The following is a 20,806-nucleotide window of genomic DNA, read 5'->3' as shown; positions in this document are numbered from 1 at the left end:
GGATGGTTCAACAAATGCAAATCAATCAATGTGATACGTCATATCAACAGACTGAGGAACAAAGACCGTATGATTATTTTAATTGAAGCTGAAAAACTATTTGCTAAAATTTAACATTATTTCATGATAAAAACTCTAAAAAAACTGCGTATAGATAGAACATACTCAACATAATAAAAGCCATATATGGCAGACCCACAGCTAGTTTCATGCTGAATGGAGAAAAACTGAAAGCCTTTCCTCTAAGATCTGAAACTTGACAAGGACGTCCACTGTCACCACTGTTATTCAGCATAGTACTGGAAGTCCTAACTAGAGCAATCAGACAAAAGAAAGATATAGCTCACATTCAGATTGTAAAGAAAGTCAAATTTTTCTCATTTGCAGGTGATATGATCTCATATTTGGAAAAACCTAAAGACTACACAAAAAATTATTAAAGCTAATACACAAATTAAGTAAAGTTGCAGGATACCAAATCAACATGATAAAATCAGTACCATTTCTGTATACCAACAGTGACCAAACTGAAAAAGAAATTTAAAATGTAGTCCCATTTACAATAGTCACAAATAAAATTTCATACCTGAGAATCGACTTAGCCAAAGAATTAAAAGATCTCTATCATAAAAACTATAAAACACTGATGAAAGAAATTGAAGAGGACACCAAAAAATGAACAGATATTCATGTTCATGGATTGGAAGAATCAATATTGTCTAAGGGTTCAATGCAATCTCTATCAAAATTCCAATGGCATTCTTCACAGAAATAGAAAAAACAATCCTAAATTTTATATAGAACCACAAAAGGCCCAGAATAGCCAAAGCTATCCTAAGCAAGAGGAACAAAACTGGAGCAATCCCATTACCTGATTTCAAATTATACTACAGAGCTACAGTAACCAAAACAGCATGGTAATGGCATAAACACAGACATATGGACCAATGGAACAGGATAGGGAACACAAAAGCAAATCCAAACACCTACAGTGAAATAATTTTCAACCGAGTTACCAAGAATATACACTAGGGAAAAGACAGTCTCTTCAATAAATGGTGCTGGGAAAACTGAATATCCATTTGCAGAAGAATGAAACTAGACCCCTATATCTCACTACATACAAAAATTAAATCAAAATCTATTAAATACTTAAATCTAAGACGTCAAACTATAAAACTACTCAAGAAAACATTGGAGACACTCTCTAGAACATTGGAGTGGGCAAAAATTTCTTGAGCAATACCCCACAAGCACAGGCAACCAAAGCAAAAATAAACAAATGGTATCACATCAAGTTAAAAAGCTTCTGCGCAGAAAAAATAATAATTAAAAAAAACAGCAAAGTAAAGAGACAACCCACAGAATGAGAGAATATATATTTGCAAACTACTCATTTAACAATGGTATAATAACAAGAATATGTAAGAATCTCAAACAACTCTATAGGAAAAAAAATTAATAAACTGTTTTAAAAATCGGCAAGATTTGAGTAGACATTTCTCAGCAGAAGACATATAAATGGCAAAGAGACATAGATAAAGGTGATTAACATCATTAATCATTAGAGAAATACAAATCAAAACTTCAATGAGATATTATCTCACCCCCAATTAAAAGGGCTTATATCCAAAAGACAGGCAATAACAAGTGCTGGCAAGAATATGGAGAAAAGGGAAACCTCATACACTGTTGGTGGGAATGTAAATTATTACAACCACTGTGGAGAACAGCTTGCATGTTCTTCAAAAAATTGAAAATAGAACTACCATATGATCCATCAATCCCACTACTGGGTTTATACCCAAAACCTAGGGAATAAATATATGAAGGAAATAGCTGCACCCCATGTTTGTTGCAGTTATGTTCACAATAGCCAAGATTTGAATGCAAACTAAGTGTTCATCAACAGATGAATGGATAAAGAGAATGTCACGCATATACACAATGGAGTACCATAAAAAAAAGAATGAGATTCAGTCATTTCAACAACATGGATGGAACCAGAGGTCATTATGTTACGTGAAATAAGCTGGGCACAGAAAGATAAACACTGCATGTTCTCACCTACTTGTGAGATCCAAAAATAAAAGCAATTGAACCCATGGATATAGAGTAGAAGGATGGTTACCACAGGCTGGGAATGGTAGTGGGTGAGGGGTGACAAAGAGGTGGGGATGATTAATGGGTACAAAAAAATGTTAGAAGAAATGAATGAGGCCTTGTATTTGAAAGCACAACAGGGTGACTGGAGTCAATAATAATTAAATTGTACATTTTTAAATAACTAAAAGAATATAATTGGACTGTTTTTAACACAAAGGAAAAATGTTTGAGGGGATGGATAACCCATCTTCCATGATGTGATTGTTACACATTGGATGTCTGTATCAAAACATCTCATGTATCCCATAAATATATACAACTAGAATGTACCTACAAAATATAAAAATTGAAAATTAAAAAAAAGATTTTGCTGATTTTTTCCTGTAGTTTTCTCATTCTCTACTTGATTTATTTCTGCTTTAATTTTTATTATTTTCTTCCTTCTCCTAACTTCGGGCTTAGCTTTTGCTTCTTTTTCTAATTATTTGAAGTATAAAGTTAGATTATTTTACCTGAGATATTTCTCCTTTATTAATGCAGTGGTTTACCACAATAAATTTTCCTGTTAGTACTGTTTTTGTTGCATCCCATAGCTACTGGTATGTTGTATTATTTTTGTTTATCTCAAGATACTTTTTAAATTCCCTTTTGATTTCCTCTTTGATCCAATGGCTATTCAATAGTGTGTTGTTTAGTTTCCTGGTATTTGTAAATGTTTCTATTTTCTTGCTGTTTTTGGTTTCTAGTTTCATTTCACTGTGTTCAGAAAAGATACTTGGCATGATTTTGATCTTCTTAAATTTGTTAAGGCTTGTTTTATGATCTAACCCATGTTCTATCCCAGAGAATGCTCTACATGCATTTGAGAAGAATGAGTGCCCATCTCCTGTTGGGTAGAAAGTTCTGTATATATCTGTTAGGTCCATTTGGTATATTGTTGTTCAAGGCAGCTGTTTATTGATTTTCTGTCTGGATGTTCTATTCAATATTTTAAGTGTGATATTGAGATCCTCTACTTTTATTGTTTTGCTGTTGATTTCTATCTTCAGATTTGGCAGTATTTGCTTTATATACAAGTGCTCTGATATTGAGTGTTTATATATTTATAACTGTTATATCTTCCTATTGAATTGACCCTTTTATCATTTCATAATGACATTAGTCTTTAGAGATCATTTTGTACTTTACATATATTGTTTATGATGTAAGTATAGCCACTTTTGTTGTCTTTGTTTACCATTTATGTGAAATAGCTTTCTTATCCTCTTACTTTCAGCTGCTTCAAGTCTTTAAATCTAAAGTGAGTCTCTTGTAAATGGCATATCACTGGATATTGTATTTTGTTTAATTCATTCATCCAAGCTGTCCCATTTGATTGGTGAATTTAATCCATTTACATTTATGGTTATTATTAATAGGAGATAACTTAGTACTGCCATCTTGTTGTTTTCTATTTTGTGGTTGTTTTCTCATTCTTTTCCTCTGTTGCCATATGTCCTTGTTATTTGATAATTTTTTTAGTAATTTGCTTTCATCCTTTTTCTTCTTTCTGTATTAGAGACTTTTCTCCTGTGATCAGCTCAAAGCTTGCATAAAATAGCTTGTAGCTGTAATTCTCTGTTTTAAGTATATAAAACACTGTACTTTTACTCCCACATATATACATAATTTATATTCTTGTAGTCAGTTTCTTTTTATATTGTGTATCTATAAACAAACTTTTATCTTTTAACTTTTATAATAGAGTTAAAACTAAATTACACACTACCATTACAGCGTTACATTAATCTACATATTTCTGCATATTTGCCTTCATCAATGAAATTTATGCTTTCATATTCTTTTCCTTTGCTGTTCAGCATATTTTTGTTTCAATTTGAAGAATCCCCTTAAGTATTTTTTGTAAGGCAGGTACAATGCTAAAAAACTCCTTCAGTGATTGTTTGGATGGGGAAAACTTAATCTCTCCTTAATTTTTGAAAGATGGTTTTGCTAGGTTTTTTCTCTTCTCTTGCTAATTTCAAAATTCTCTTTGTCCTCAAGTTTGGCTACTTAATTATATATATATATATATATATATATATATATATATATATGTAGTCTTCTTTGACTTGACCCTTGTATTAGTCTGTTTTCATGCTGCTGATAAAGACATACCCAAGACTGGGTAATTTACCCCAAAAAAGAGCTTTAATGAATTTCTGTTCCACATGGCTGTAGAGGCCTCACAATCATGGCAGAAGGCAAGAAGGAGCAAGTCATATCTTGTGAGGATGGAAGCAGGCAAAGAGAGAGCTTGTGCAAGGAAACTCCCCTTTTTAAAACTATCAGATCTTGTGAGACTTATTCACTATCATGAGAACAGCACAGGAAAGACCTGCCCCCATGATTCAATTACCTCCCACTGGGTCCTTCACACAATACATGGGAATTCAAGATGACATTTGGGTGGGGACACAGCCAAACCACATCATTCCACCCCGGGCCCCTCCCAAATCTCATGTCCTCAGATTTCAACATCAGTCATGCCTTCTCAACATTTCCCTAAAGTCTTAACTCATTTCAGCATTAACTCAAAAGTCCACAGTCCAAAGTCTCAGCTGAAACAAGGCAAGTCCCTTCCACCTATGAGCCTGTAAAATCAAAAACAAGTTAGTTACTTCCTAGATACAATGGTGTTACAGGCATTGGGTAAACACAGTCATCCCAAATGGGAGAAATTGGCCAAAACAAAGGGGGTTCCAGGCCCCATGCAAGTCTGAAATCCAGCAAGGCAGTCAAATCTTAAAGTTCCAAAATCTCATTTGACTTCATACCTCATATCCAGGCCATGCTGATGCAAGAGGTGGGTTCCCATGGTCTTGGGCGGCTCTGCCCCTGTTCACTATGCAGGGTACATCCTCCCTCCTGGCTGCTTTCATAGGCTGGCATTTAGTGTCTACAGCTTTTCCAGGCACAAGGTGCAAGCTGTCAATGGGTCTACAGTTCCAGAGTCTGGAGGATAGTAGCCCTCTTCTCAGAGCTCCACTAGGCAATGCACCAGTACAGACTCTGTGTGGGGGCTGTGACCCCACATTTCCCTTCCACACTGCCTTAGAAGAGGTTCCCCATGAGAGCCCCAAACTTCTGCATGGACATCCAGGTGTTTCCATACATTCTCTGAAATCTAGGTGGAGGTTCCCAAACCTCAATACTTTACTTCTGTGCACTCTCAGGCTCGATGCCACACAGAAGCTGCCAAGGCTTAAGGCTTGCACCCTCTGAAGCCCTGGCCTGAGCACTATGTTTGCCCCTTTCAGCCATGGCTGAAGCAGCTGGGATGCAGGGCACCACGTCCCCAGGCTGCACACAGCATGGGGACCCTGAGCCTGGCACACAAAACCACTTTTTCCTCCTAGGCCTCCAGGCCTATGATGGGAGAGACTGCCAGGAAGACCTCTGACATGCCCTGGAGACATTCTCCCATTTGTCTTGGGGATTAACATTTGGCTCCTCCTTAATTACGCAATTCTCTTTCTGCAGCCAGTTTGAATTTCTCCTCAGAAAATGAGATTTTCTTTTCTATCACATTGTCAGGCTGCAAATTTTTCAAACTTTTATGCTCTGCTTCCCTTTTAAAACAGAATGCCTTTAACAGCACCCAAGTCACCTCTTAAATGTTTTGCTGCTTAGAAATTTCTTCTTCCAGATACCCTAAATCATCTCTCTCTAGTTCAAAGTTCCACAAATCTCTAGGGCAGGGGCAAAATGTTGCCAGTCTCTTTGCTAAAACAGCAAGAGTCACCTTTACTCCAGTTCCCAACAAGTTCCTCATCTCCATCTGAGACCACCTCAGCCCGGACTTTATTGTCCATATCGCTATCAGCATTTTGGGCAGAGCCATTCAACAAGTTCTAGGAAGTTCCAAACTTTCCCACAATTTCCTGTCTTTTTCTGAGCCCTCCAAACTGTTCCAACCTCTGCCTATTACCCAGTTCCAAAGTCACTTCCACATTTGCAAGTATCTTTTCAGCAGTGCCCCACTCTACTGGTACTAATTTACTGTATTAGTCTGTTTTCACACTGCTGATAAAGACATATCTGAGATTGGGCAATTTACAAAAGGAAGAGGTTTAATGGACTTACAGTTCTGCATGGCTGAGGAGGCCTCACAATCATGGTGGAAGGCAAAGAGGATCAAGTCACATTTTACATGGATGATGGGTGGTAGGTAAAGAGAGAGCTTGTGCAGGAGAACATCTCTTTTTAAAACCATCAGATCTCATGAGACTTATTCACTATCACAAAAACAGCATGGGAAAGATCTGCTCCCATAATTCAATTACCTCCCGCTGGGTCCCTCCCACAACACATGAGAATTCAGAATGAGATTTGGGTGGGGACACAGCCAAACTAAATCAACCCTGTTTGGAAATCTTTCAGCTTCCTCAATCTGGATGTCCATTTCTCCCCCGACAAATTTGGGAAGTTTTTAGTCATTTTCTAAAGAAGTTTCTTCTTCTTTCTCTCTTTCTCTTCTCCTTCTGATATTCCCAAAATGCATATATTGGTTTCTTTTACAGTGTCCTAAAAATCACATAGAACTGTCTTCACTCTTCTTGTTTCTATATTTTTCCTCCTCTGACTGGATAATTTCCAAAGAACCATCTTTGAGTTTGTAGGTTAATTCTTCTGCTTGATTGAGTCTGATGTTCAAGCTCTATGTTTCATTTTTTAACTTCATTCATTGTATTACTCAACTGTAGAATTTCTGTTTGGTTCTTTTTTATGATTTCTATCTCTGTTGAACTTCTAAGTTTGTTCATGCATTGTTTTCCTGATATGGTTGTGATATGGTTGTGTTGACTGTCTGCCTGTTTGTTTTATAGCTCACAGAGCCTTTTTAAAACAATTATTTTGAATCTTTGCTTACATAATTTGTATATATCCATTTCTTTGCAGTTGGGTACCAGAAAATTATTGTTTTCCTTCAGTGGTTTCAAGTTTCCCTGATTTGTTTGTTTTTATTGCATTGATATCTGCACATTTAGGAGAGCATTTACCTCCTCCAGGATTTATGGATTGGTTTTGGTGAGGAAAGATCTTCACCTACAGTGGGAGCAGGGGTGTTAGCTGAGTAGGGTGAAGTGGTTCTGGCTCTGGACACACTGATATAGTCTACTTAGCTCCATCAGCTGAGGTCAGAAGACCATTGGGTTCCTCAGCAGCCAAGGCTGTGGATGTCCATGACAGCTGTGAATGTTGTTGAGGCTCTCAGTGGAGAAGGCTGCTGGGGTTCACCTGTTCTCTATTTCTCCCATAAGTGGAAGTTTATGGTTAAGGGTATATTTCTTAGTGACAGATCTGACACACAGGAATGCTGATGGCAGTGGTCTTGCCAGTTTGTGATGCACAGACACTCACAGGATGGCTGCACAACCAAGGTACAGAGCATGGGCTCGTATGGAATAATTATGACTCCAGGGCCCAGGGCACAGGTGCACTTACTGTAGTGGTGGCTCTGGTGTTTGAAGCAGACATGATAGGATTCTCATTGGCGGAAGCAGTGAGGATTTCTCTGGTGTCCATGAGGGTTACTGAGGTCCTCAGCAGCAGGCCACTGAGGACCAGAGTGGTACCCACGTTGTGACTGACACTTACAGCTCCTGCAGCTCTTCTTTGTTCCTAGCTGTCTCCAGACATCCCAGATATACTGAGCATGCTGATCTTCCCAGCAATCTGGGTGCTGTGAAACTGAAGCAGGTCATTAGAGAAGTAACCTGAAAAGATAGGGTAGCTGGTAGGTCACTTGCTATACTTTTTCTCCATGAGGAAAACTTCTGGGCCAAGGAGAATCTTTTTGGCATAAGCCATGTTGACATGGAGGATGGAATGATGCAGGCAGAATGAAACCATACTCCCTATCCTTTCTGTGGAGTTAGTCTCTGTTATTTTATTCTACTGTGTTGCCACAGTGTCCTAATTTGGCTGCTGAGCTCTCTCGGGGCTATTTTAATTCATGGGGAGTTAATTCTTTTTTATAGGGGACAAAGACTGGGATCTTTTACTCTGCCATCTTGCTGATATCACGTCATAATGTTTCTTTAGTGATTTTCAGAGAAGGAATTCTAAATGTATAAATATTGCTTTCAGAATGTTTCTCTATCTCAGTCCAGGTGGTTACTTCTATGTCCATGTCTCCACATACTCTAAGCATGAAAGGGAAAGTCATAACTTCCACAAACCCAGAGAAACAAAGCAAAACGACTCAGGCCTAACTACAGGAGTTGGTCAGGGCTTACATTTCTCCTAATTATCTATACTTCTATCTCTGAGCCTTCCCTGCCTCTCCTGATTTTACCAACTCACTTTCACCTTTCCTCTAGCAACTGTAACTTACTTCAAACCTATGTTGACCCCAAGTCATCCACAGTCGCTTTTAATCTTGATTTCTGGCAAACACCACTCTCACCAAGCAGTTTTAAATAATAGGCTTTTATTAAAGATTCAAAAAGTAACAGTACAGTGTTACATAGAAGTCTAACAGAACTTAAAACATAAAATTGAGCATTTCATGTCCCTTTGTCTAAAGCCATTCACGCTACAGGGAGTTTCTCACTTCCAGAACCCTGCCCTATCTCCTCTATCTCTTTACAACTTCAGCTTCTTTCACTTATTCCCTTTCTCAACTAATGCCAGAGTAAGCACAAATTTCTTCTCAATTTATTAAGCAGAGCAACACACACACATGCAAGCATGCACGCATGCACACATGCACACACACACACATGCACACACACAACCATAGATATTTTTGCTAAAATTAATAAAATGATACTTGGCTAACCAGTTAGGCTAAAAAGTTAGTTTATGTGGGAGGAGATATTTTTACATCTAAGCTGGGAAAGCACATAAAGTCACAAAGGTCCCTCCCCTATAAGATATGTTCTAGCCTTCAACATGTCAAAATGAGCTCTATGTTGGGTGGAAAGAAAATCTTGTAGTAATTATACCTCTCAGTAAACAATCGAGGTACTCTCTTCAGAACATTCTTTATCTGGAAAGAAGTTTCTCCTAGGTGGTCACTACGTTTAGGTTTTCTGAAATTCTAGGGAAATGCCTGATACATGGCGGGTCCACAGCAAATCTCAGATGAATTTGAAAGGGTGTAGTCTGGGTTTTCTGCAGTCCACTTATGTTTTATTTTTATCAATTTCATTTGAAAATATTGATTTTATGTCTGAGAACTATGGTCACTGCTCAGAAAGATAACTGGATCATCCATCTATTTTGAAAAGTTTTGACTTACAGACCTAAATAATTTCACTGCAGCAGTAAAACCATCATGCTTCTATGAGGGAAAATCTAAGTTGAAATAGAAAATATTAGCCATGAGAGGGAATAAATGTAAGATATTTAAGCATGAAAGGGAAAGTAATAACTTCCACAAACCCAGAGCAGAAAATAGGCCATCTGTCCACACACTCTGCCACTCAGATCCTCTGCGGGCTTGGGCCGCTGAGACTTTTAGTGTAAATACAGGATCCCCAAGCCCACAGGGAGGTCTTTTCTGGTCACAAAGTTAATTGGTAGCATCTACTCCTGATTGTTTGACTACCTATTGAGGTATTTATCATCACAAAATCATAAAGTCACTTCTATCTCTACTTGTTTTTCTCCTCACAAGAAAAATGTATAAATATGATCTCAATTATGAAAGTTATTATGAGTCACTGATATGCTGACTCACCTCTGTTTGCATTAACATTTGCTAACACTGTGAATAAGGCTCAACCCCTCACAAGCACTCCTACAGCAGAGAGAACAAATAATCAAAGTTTTGGTACTGTCTTCTCTACTCTAAGCCACAATTAACATCCAATATGCACCCATCTTTTAGGCCATCTGTATATAATAAAATATTAATTTTGCAACTAAAAGAAAGGAGAGTATAGCAAATATTGAGGATATCACATCTATGTAAGTATCTGTTGTGGTTGTGAATGACATATGATCAGTGTTAAATCCTGAAAGGATTATGCACAACGTCCAGTCCTGCTGTATTAGTCTGTTCTCATGCTGCTAATAAAGACACAAATTACCAAGACTGGGTAATTTATAAAGAAAAGAGGTTTAATTGACTCACAGTTCTACATGGCTAGGGAGGCCTCACAATCATGGCAGAAGGTGAATGAGGAGCAAAGTCATGTCTTACATGGCAGCAGGCAAGAGAGCTTGTGCAGGGGAACTCCCATTTATAAAACCATCAGATCTCATGAGACTTATTCACTACCACGAGAACAATATGGGGGAAACCTCCCTCATGATTCAGTGATCTCCACCAGGCTCCGCCCTTTACACGTGGGGATTATTACAATTCAAGGTGAGATTTGGGTGGGGACACAGCCAAACCATATCACCTGCCTTCTCCATTTGAAGGGTGACTAATCAAAGCCCAGGGGAAAGTGACCATAGACCCATGGCTAAAGCCAAAGACTCCTAAATATCAATTGACTTCTCTATCCAGTAAATATTACATATTTTATTGATTATGTTGTAAAAATGGCTATAAGAAAAGGGCAAATTCTAATAGATGTTTGGATATGATTGAAAAAATGCAAAGTCCTAAAGGTTTTCTAAGAATTCAATTTCCTATAAGGCTTCAATTTTTCTATGAAGGTACTCCCACAGATTAATGAGAGGAGAAGGTGGTACAAGCATAGATATTTTCCAAAACTTTTGATGTCAAGAGCCCAATAAATCTATCTGTGATAAACTGAATATTTGTGTCCCCTAAAAATTCATGCATTGAAATCCTAATCCCCTGTGTGATGTTAGTAGGAGATGGGACCTTTGGATGTAATTAGGTCATGAGGGTGGAGCCTTTACGAATTTGATTAGTGCCCTTATAAAAGAGAATCTGGAGAGCTCTCTAGCTCTCTTTCCACCATGTGAGTATATGAGAAGTTGGCTATCTGCCACCTGCAAAAAGGCCTTCACCTGTGCAGGCACCCTGGTCTGACCTCCAGCCTCCAGAATTGTGAGAAATTAATTTCTGTTCTTCATAAACTGCCCAACCTATGGCATTTTGTTATAACAATGTGAACTAAGTCACCAAAATTTTGTCAATCATCACCAAATTCTATAGAAAATCTGTTGTTGATTTCTTTTAGAAGTTGAAGAAGCTAAATATAGACAATGTGGATAGATTAAGCTTTCACTGATAGTTAAAATAATCCAGATAAGCAGTAGATATATCAATGTTATTCTCAACTGATTTGGCTGATAAGATAGATAGATAAATAGAAAGAGAGAGACAGAGAGAGAGAGAGAGAACATCCAAAAAGCAGGGAGGAGAAAGTTGGTCAACTTAAACTATAATATAAAATAGTGAAACATATTCTTAAGCAATTTAGCCTAGGAAATCAATTAAACATCTGTAAAGGCTTGTTTACAATGTACAATCTTGCAATAATAGTGAGACCACATCCCTCACTAAATCTATGTTAAATTTCTTAGCATCTGTATTTGACTCCAACAAGAGACCGCTATGGGCATCTAAACTAGCTTTTATTGACATTATTAAAGACTAAAAGCCTTTCATCAATTATATATTGCTACCCAAAATAAAGTAGTAGATGGAGTACCCCCAAATTTGGAAGGCTTTGTAAGGACACAAGCATATCTTTCATTTGGGAGGATAATTTTGGAAAAAATAAATTCTTACTTTACATCCAAGTATGTATTATAATTGCTAAACCAAATAAAATGCTTTAGTACCTATTCTTTAGAGAACATTTTGTTTGAAGCTATATTTTCCAAAGCATTTAAAAGCAAATGGAAGGCGTAATCATGATATGTTAGGCAATTTGGTGAAGCCTGCATTTTGAGATGTTTTGGGTCATCATATTCAACATGAATTGAAAGAATTAGAGCCAATGGGTAGGAAAAACAATTAAAGATCAAATTTACTGGTTCAATTCAAATTGCACAAAAGCCTAGACTAACATAGTGAGAGGAAAGGAGAGAAAAGAAGATAAATATGATTCAAAGACAGTAAAGGCAGCAATAATTGGACAGATAACTTCTTAAGAATAAGGGCAAAAAGCTAATATGTGTCTGAATTTTCTAGCTGGAAGCACTGACATAGGTACTGTTTATAATAAAAACGGAGAAAATTTATGCAATATCTATGGGCACCTATATGAGAGCTGGGAATTTGTTGTTGGGCTATCTCACATCCTAGAAAATATTAGTTCATTCATAGAAAAAAAATGGGAGGCAGAGATTTCTGAACAGATTACAAAATTTTTCTTTGAAAATACTTTTGTGAAAGCTTGAACCCTTTGAAAGAAATTTTATTTACTCAGATTTTTTTCAGGTAAAATTTACATATAGAAAAGTTCACCATTTTTAGATATACAGGTCAATGTGTTTTGAAGAACATAAAATGTTACATAACCATTGCATTAGTCCTTTCTCACACTGCTATAAAGAAGTACCAGAGACTGGGTAATTTATAAGGAAAAGAGGTTTAATTGGCTCACAGTTTTGCAGACTGTACAGGAAGTATGGTGCCAGTATCTGCTTGGCTTCTAAGGAAGCCTCAGGAAAGTTGCAATTATGGTGGAAGGCAAAGGGGGAGCAGGTACATCTCACATCTCATATGGCCAGAGCAAGAGGAAGAGACAGTAAGGAGGGAGGTGCCACAGCCCTTTAAGCAACCAGATTTTGTGAGAACTCATTCACTGTCATGAGAACAGCACCAAGGGCATGGTACTAAACCATTCAAGAGAAACTATTCCCATGATCCAATTACCTCCCACCAGGCCCCACCTCCAACACTGAGGACTAAAATTCAACATGAGATTTGAGCAGGGACATGGATCCAAACCATATCAATCACTAACACACCTGAGTATAGATCATTTCCATTTCTCCAAAAAGCTTATTTGAGCCACTTTGTAATCAATACCCTTCCCTCACCCTTAGCACCTGATAAATGATCATCTGGTTTCTGTCTCTGTAATTTCTCTGAAATGTCAATAAATGGAATAGTGTACTATGTAGTTTTTGTGTTTGGCTTTTTCCATTATAATGCTTTTGACCTGAGCCCATGTTGTTACATGTATCAGTAGTTTTTACTTTAACTATACTATATGAATATACCACAATTTGTTTATCTATTCATCAATTAATGGATGTTTCGGCTATTTACAATTTGGGGCAATTATGAATAAAGCCACTGTAAAAATTTATGCCTAAGACTTCATGCAGATAAATGTTTTTACTTCTTTTGAGTTAATTCCTAGAAGTGAGATTGACAGATCACATGCTAAAGATATGCTTGACTTATCAGAATCTGCCAAATTATTTTCTAAAGTGATAGAAAAATTTCACAAGCCTAATTCTAAAGGGAGAAACTATAAAACTTCTAAAACTTCTAGACAAGAACCGAAGAGAGAATCCTGTAACTTTAGGTTAGGCAAATATCTCTTAGAAGAAGAAAAGCATCCACTATAAAAATATATATAAATTGAAATCACTCAAAATCTTTGGTTCTTTGAAAGGCACTGCTAAGAAAATGAAAGGACAGACCACAGACTAAAAGGGAGACAAAGTTGAAACCCCTCTTAGGGGCCTGCCAGCATCCCCAAAAAGCGTGGAAAGAAAAGAAAATCTTGAGTTCCTTCAAGGGAAATTCAAGGCACCTAGCTAGCTCTGAGAAGTAAATGAACAATCTGATAAGCAAGAAGGTAATAACAGATTAAACCATAGCCAAAAATGTTAGAGTCACGGGATGTTTGGTCCCCTATAAAAACTAGAGATAACATCTTAACATATGTCCTCGAGCTGTTTTTTCAGAATACTGGACCCTCATCAAATGGAAAATGCCATCTGCTAGCACATAGACTTCAGATAAAGTGGAACTGAGGACTGAACTCTTACCAACAGTCTTTGTTCTAAATCTCTTTTAGAGGGGCCTGGAGGAAGTCACATCCACATGCCAGACCTTAACATTCCTTTCTGTGACCCCAAGTTTTTAGACAAAGCTTTTCTTCCTTAATCAATTGCAAATCAGAGGATCTTTAAATTCACCCATGTTCTGTAAGCCCTACCTAAAAGATATCCCTCCCTTTTAGGTTAAACCAATAAATAGCCTCCTGTGTGTATTTACAATTTTGCCTGTAACTTCTGCTTTGCTGAAATTTACCCCTAACTTAAAAAACTCTTGCTTGGAAGCCATGAGGGTGGTCAGGTCTTAAGTGTGAGCTATCCAGTTCTCCTTGCTTGGTGCCCTCTGAATAAATGCCCTCTTTTCTCTAGCTGCAAAATCTTGGTGTGGATTTTTGGCTTTCCTATGCCAGGCAAGTTGAACCAGGTTTGGTTCTGTAACAAAGGAATATATTTACAAAACACATATCTGATAAAGCATGTGTATCTAGATTACATAAAGACTTACAATTGTATAATAAGAAGATAGCAAATGAAATTTGGATTAAAGAATGAATAAACATTCACCAGAGAAAAGATACGGGTAGCAACTAAGAAAATTATGTGAAAGTTGTTCAAGATTGTGAATGATGTATTCAATGTAGGTAGTGACTAGAGAAATGCAAACTAAAACCATAACCTCTATACACCTAGAGAATTGCCTAAAATTCAAAAAAAAAATTACAAAGTGCAAGTGAATATAAAGAACAACTGGAACATTCATAAAGCTTGACCTCTTTATTTTTTGTTCCTGACGGTGGATTGATACTGATAATATAATAGTCTTCAGTGAGAGATAGGATCTTTTCTTCTACAACAGTGCTCAAGAACCATCTTTTACAAACAAGCAGACAAAATTCTCCCATTTTCAGTAAACTTGTTTTGCACAAGACACTTCTATGAAAACATTGATTACAATTAGTTTATCTTGGAGATCAAGGTCCCTCTAACTTCTCTTTATATATAATAGATATACTCAGCTTGAAAGACAGAAATAGAAAGAGAGAAAGAGAAAAGAGGAATAGAGAAAGGAAGGAAAGGAGAGAGAAGGTGTGTGGTGGAGGAGGAGGAGAAAGAGAAAGAGAGAGAGAGAGGAGATCTCCTTCTAACCCAGAGGCTCAAATAACATAAAAGTAAATGTGTCCATTGTCCTGAACTATCCAAATAAAACAGGATAATTTTATATTTTTAAAACTACCTCCCTATTGTAGATTGCCTTCTATCCAGAATGATAACATTTGGGATTTTCCATTTTTAGTTATCTTTTCTACAACAGATCTCTTAGTTACAGATTATATTTTAATTGTCTCTACTCAGTACATTGGGTAATAATAAAACTAGGACTCCTTTATTGTATGTAATATTGAAACCAGGAATTACTAAATTAAGAGGTCTGATTAAGAGATTCCTTTTCTATATACCTAACCCACATCAAAATGAATACTTCTGGCTGAACTGAAATTGGCAAGAGTTGTTTGGGCAGTTATATAACCCTCCATTCACTTTGCCTACATATGTCCCCACTGGCACTCACTGCTGGGCTAAGCAGAATTTAAACCAGGAATTTGCAGAAGTCAGTACTGAAAAGCAGCAAGGAAGCAGCAAGGAATCAGCAGGTTCAGAACCTGGTAGAGGCCCAGGTCACAAGGGTGAACAGGGGCATCCAGGGGTCAAGAACATCCAGAGCCAAGTAGGACAGACACCAAATGTCATGGTCAATAACTGGAGCCAAGGAGCCACCAGGAGCCCAGGAAGCATCCTTGATGACACAACACAGGCAACAGTTTCTAGAGATATCAAATTCTCCAGGATACTCCAGGAAACTTTTTTAAGTTAACATGCCTGAGACAACTCCAGTTCTATAACATCGTAAAGATGCTGTTCTGACAATAAAAACCTGTGCTTACTGTGCATCTTTCTATTGTTCTTCTGGTTGTTTATAATGGTTATTGTCTCTGTCAATGAGCACAGCGATATTATTTTATATCTTCCCTGCTTCTTTCTTCAACGTGATCATTGTTAACTCTTCAGAATCATGCCATACTCACTTTTGCACATCCCTCCTAGCCATATTGGTATATCACACAGATTAGATACTTGATAAAATATTTTTTACTAATTTTTATTCATAAATTTAGAGAGCTCATTTGATGTAGAAGCAGCTCAGCTGAAAAATTTCTTGATGATGACAAATAGATATCATTCATAATTGAACCCAAGCAAAGGAAAACTTTCCTAAACATTAGAAATAATAGGTTTTTTGACAAAATAATCCATAACTCAGGGTTGAAAGAGGAAGTGATACGGAAGCCCTGTGGGAGATAGCAGCATAACTTTAATTAGAAATAGACAATTTAGATTCTAGCGTTTTATTACTAGGTATATTGAGAATTACTTAAATTTTATGAGCCTCACTTGCCACATCTGCAAACTGTAGCTAAATGACAACTTGCCTACCTGGATATAGAAGGTTAGACCAAATATGCCTGACAGGTTAAAAAAAAAAAAAAAAAGAGGCAGACTTTTCGGAATAATAGAAGAGACCTACATTAGTTTTTAGAGAAATTGTATTCGAGGTCCCCTCCAGTAAAGAGCTGTGTAGCTGCAAAAAATATAGAATTCATTTACATATTAACATACAATTCCATTTTCAGAGACTGAAAAAAAAGCCTCAGGACAAACAAGGCCATTAACCCTTCCTATTTCGATAGAATGCTGAACAAATTGCTCTCCATCACTAAGGAGCCACAGATTCTGAACAAACTCTACTGTAACTCTACAGCTTTCACTAAAGGTGGCAAAGTGCATGGGTGACATTTGAGAGTTTAGAATGCCCTAGAAAGAAATTATTGGAAGAAGAGTCACATGTGGAAAACTATTAATTGTTAAATGAACCCGATTACAAATTCTAATTTCTTGATGACATATTTATCTGGATACATTTTTTCTTTCCCAAATATTATTTTAATTACCAACAAAAATTGCATGTAAGAAAAATGAAGAGAAAGAAAGGCATTGTACCAGAGACATGTACTATCAATGGACAAGAAATTGAAGACATTCTCTTTTTTTTTTTTGGAGAGACAGGGTCTCACTGTGTTGCCCAGGCTGATCTCAAACTCATGGGCTCAAGTGATCCTCCCACCTCAGCCTCCTAAAGTCCTGGGATTACAGGCATCAGCCATCAAATCAGCTAAAAAATTTCTTGATGAAGACAAGTAGATATCACTCATAACTGAACTCAAGCAAAGGAAAGCTTTTTGAAACATTAGAAATAATATTTTTTCAATAAAATAATCCACAACTCAGGGTTGAAAGAGGAAGTGATATGGAAGCCCTGTGGAAGATGGCAGCGTGACTTTAAGAACTGTGCCTTTTCTAAACACAGAATGCATTTAACTGTAGCATTCACACCATGCGGAAGTTTAGCTTAATCAATAGAAAATTGGGACTTTGGCAAAGTAGACTTGGATTACTGGCATTAGAAGAGAGAGAAAAGATAAATAGTTCTCCAGCTAACTTTCAGCCCCAAAACACAAGAAGGATAAATGACTCAGCACAGCAATAAAATCCCTGGAAACTTTAATTTCTACAGTAATTCTTTCCCTACATACTTATAACCTCAGCAACTAAAATCCAGGCCAGAAACAGACACTCCTAATATTCTGCCATCAGAGGATTAAAAACTTGTTGGTTTAGAAAGTCGACCCTGGAGATCAGGCCAAACAACTTGGACAATTCCACCACAGACAAGAAAAGAATGCCTTTTTAGTATGAGTGTGTACTGTTTCCCTAGTAAAGAAAATAAAAATAAGCAAAAACAAAACAAAAAACCCACAAAGCGTTGTCATGGTCAAAAGATATGCCTGTAGCAATGCGAATTGACTTTGTAACCCAGAGAAGAAGGTGAGCATACTTACCTGCTGGCATGGCTGTATAGACTCCTGGCTCAGTGCCTTACTGAGGAGGTCCTCACCAGTTGCAAAGGATGGATCTACACCCTCCATTCTAAAAATTGGCACTATTGGCAAATAAGGTGACACAGGAACATACTCAGTATTCTGAAAAGAAGCTCAAAGGCAGTAAATGTCATTTTTCTAATGAAACAGAGTTAATACAAGAAAGAAGAGAGTTAGTATTCTCCATGGAAATTGAGACCATATGGCATCCATAAATCAAAAGCAAGATACTATGATAAATGAATCAAAGAAGAATAAAAACAATTTAGAAATATAAGTGCTAAAATTTTAAAATATTCTACCTAAGGAATGAAATGCATAATGAACTCAGATTTTTTTTTATTTGTTTTTCAGTAGAGTGAGTCATCAATTTTATCAAGAAACTATGCATCCACATGTACTGGTAGTCTTCTCTTAGAGAAAGTTAGATAGCAGAAGCAATAAAAGTAAAATAGAAATTAACACTTTAAATAAGCATAATTTATTAAAGTAAGCTTCCTTTTTCAAAATAGTATTAAAATAAAAACTTCTTGCAGATATTCCCAAGAATAAAGAAATAAGATTTAAAAAAATTAAGCATAGAGACACAGATTAAAGGCTAAAATTTGAGGTCAAAGTGTCATACAGGAATAAAGTATAACTTTATACCAATAAACTTATAAATATAATAATTATTATTATTATTATTATTATTTTAGAGACAGGGTCTCACCCTTCCACCCAGGCTCAAATGTAGTGGCACTATCACAGCTTTCTACAGCCTCAAACTCTTGGGCTCAAGCAATCTTCCTATTTCAACCTCCCAAATAGCTGGGACTACAACTGCATGCTACCATGCTTAGCTAATTTTTTTTTTTAAATTTTGTAGAGATAGAGGCTTGTTATGTTGCCCAGGCTGGTCTCGAGCTCCTGATCTCAAGTGATCCTTCTGTCTTGGCCTCCCAAAGTGCTGGGATTACAGCTGTGAGCCACTGTGCCTGGCCAATACAATTATTTTATTGGAAAATATAAATGACCAACTTTACAAAATATTTCAAAATCCTGAATAGACCCATAACAAAGGCATGAGATTCATAAATTTTAGCAAAGGGTCAGGTTTTTAATTTTGCTTCAGAGCATAGAAAAACATGAGATCTTTCAAACATTATTCATAAACCTGCTGTATCTTTAATATTCAATGAACAAAGAGAGCATAAAAATTACAATAGATAAACATCACTTATGCATATAGATACTTTATTAATATCATAAAGGTAAATATTAGCCATAAAGTCTGGCAGAAGTAAAAGAATATTGTACCAAGAGAAAAGTAGTATTCATTGCTTCCAGAAATAAAAAATAGTTTAATACTGAGGAAATATAATGATGTAATTCATTGCATTACACACTAACGGACAAAAATGATACATGCTATAGTAAGTCACTTAATAAAGTAAGCATTCATTACTAATCAATACCTACACTTATCACTTCTATACTGTAAGCCTTTGTCAGTGCAATTTAAGTTAAACATGTAAATATAAAATGAAAGAATTAAGATTATATGAAAATTGTCTACCTGGAAAGCCTAAAAGTATTGAGTGAAAATTCTTAGAATAAGCAAATTTTACTAGGTTACTAGATTTTTGAAAAATATACAAAATCAAGAGCACTTAATTTAACTAAAAATAATCAGTGATACAACATTAAAATATTTTTTAATTTTACATAACATCTAAGGTTAAATCTCACATGAAATATACAGTTCCAAGGTAAAGAATATTTTTAAAAAGTATACATTTAAAAACTCAAATGAATAAATGGAAGTATAAATCCTGTACAATCAAAAGACTAAATATTAAGGCACCACTTAATAAAATAGTTCAATAAATTCAGCATGGTTCAATCAAAATTCCTCGTTTTTTTGTTTTTTTTTGAAAAACTTTTAGCTTTTCTGTTCTAGAGTTAACATCTAAGAGTAAATTATTGTATTGAAAATTAAACAGTGTTAAAAATAGACATTTGAAAATTTACATCAAATCATAGTATGGCCCTGTTAAACCCCCCCACCATGGCTGTTTTCACTTAAATCTAAACTCTTTGCCATAATAAAAAAGACCATAGCTTCCATCCCCAGCTCATGCCAGGTTTCCTCTCACACACAGCACTACAGTTCTCTCTCCTCTTGCAGGTGGCAGAATAATGAGCCTCTGAAAAAGTTCATGGCCTCATCCCTAGAACCTGTAAATATGTTCTGTTATGTGATAAAGGGGAATTCAGTTTGCATAAGAAATAAAGACTGTTTATCAACTGACCTCTTTCAAGGGCACTCTGTCTAATTCAGTCTTGTGACACTTCATCTTAATCCCTTTACAGAACTTTAGCACAATTTGTGATACGTTTTCTCTGTGTGCTTGTTATGGTCTAGATTCTTCACCAAGTTCTATGTAAGCACGGGCCTTATCTTTCTTGTTTCATGTTATATGCCCAGGCCTTCACATGGTACCTAAAACAGACAAATGACTAAGCAAATGTATGAATATACTATGAATTCATGATAATAAAATTATATAATAATAGCACATAAGAGTATATATCAGTAGACAAGATGAGATCCCAAAGATTTATGAAACTCCAACATATAATACAGATTACCTTTTAAATCTATGAGTAATAGGTAGACTACCTAATATGTTTTGTGTGCAGAAATTGGAGTCACTATGTCTTTTAAGGTATTACACAACCTCTTGTTATGCTCAAAAGCAAAATCAAGACAACTTGAAGATTAA

The 20,806-nt window shown here is 36.3% G+C and overlaps 1 long non-coding RNA gene across 1 annotated transcript in view; it reads right to left on the bottom strand.

The window, feature by feature from the left end:
• The window catches only part of LINC02223 (long intergenic non-protein coding RNA 2223), a 123,216-nt gene that overhangs the window by 59,784 nt on the left and 42,626 nt on the right, over window positions 1-20,806 (bottom strand). The window contains exons 3-4 of the long non-coding RNA NR_134286.1: window positions 20,333-20,523; window positions 18,000-18,100 (exon numbers count right to left, since the gene is read on the bottom strand). This is a non-coding gene — a long non-coding RNA (long intergenic non-protein coding RNA 2223). The remainder of the gene's footprint in view (window positions 1-17,999; window positions 18,101-20,332; window positions 20,524-20,806) is intronic.

This window comes from Homo sapiens, chromosome 5 (assembly GCF_000001405.40).
Source record: "Homo sapiens chromosome 5, GRCh38.p14 Primary Assembly".
Taxonomy (NCBI): Eukaryota; Metazoa; Chordata; class Mammalia; order Primates; family Hominidae; genus Homo; species Homo sapiens.
This window is presented reverse-complemented; position numbering and strand designations above follow the sequence as displayed.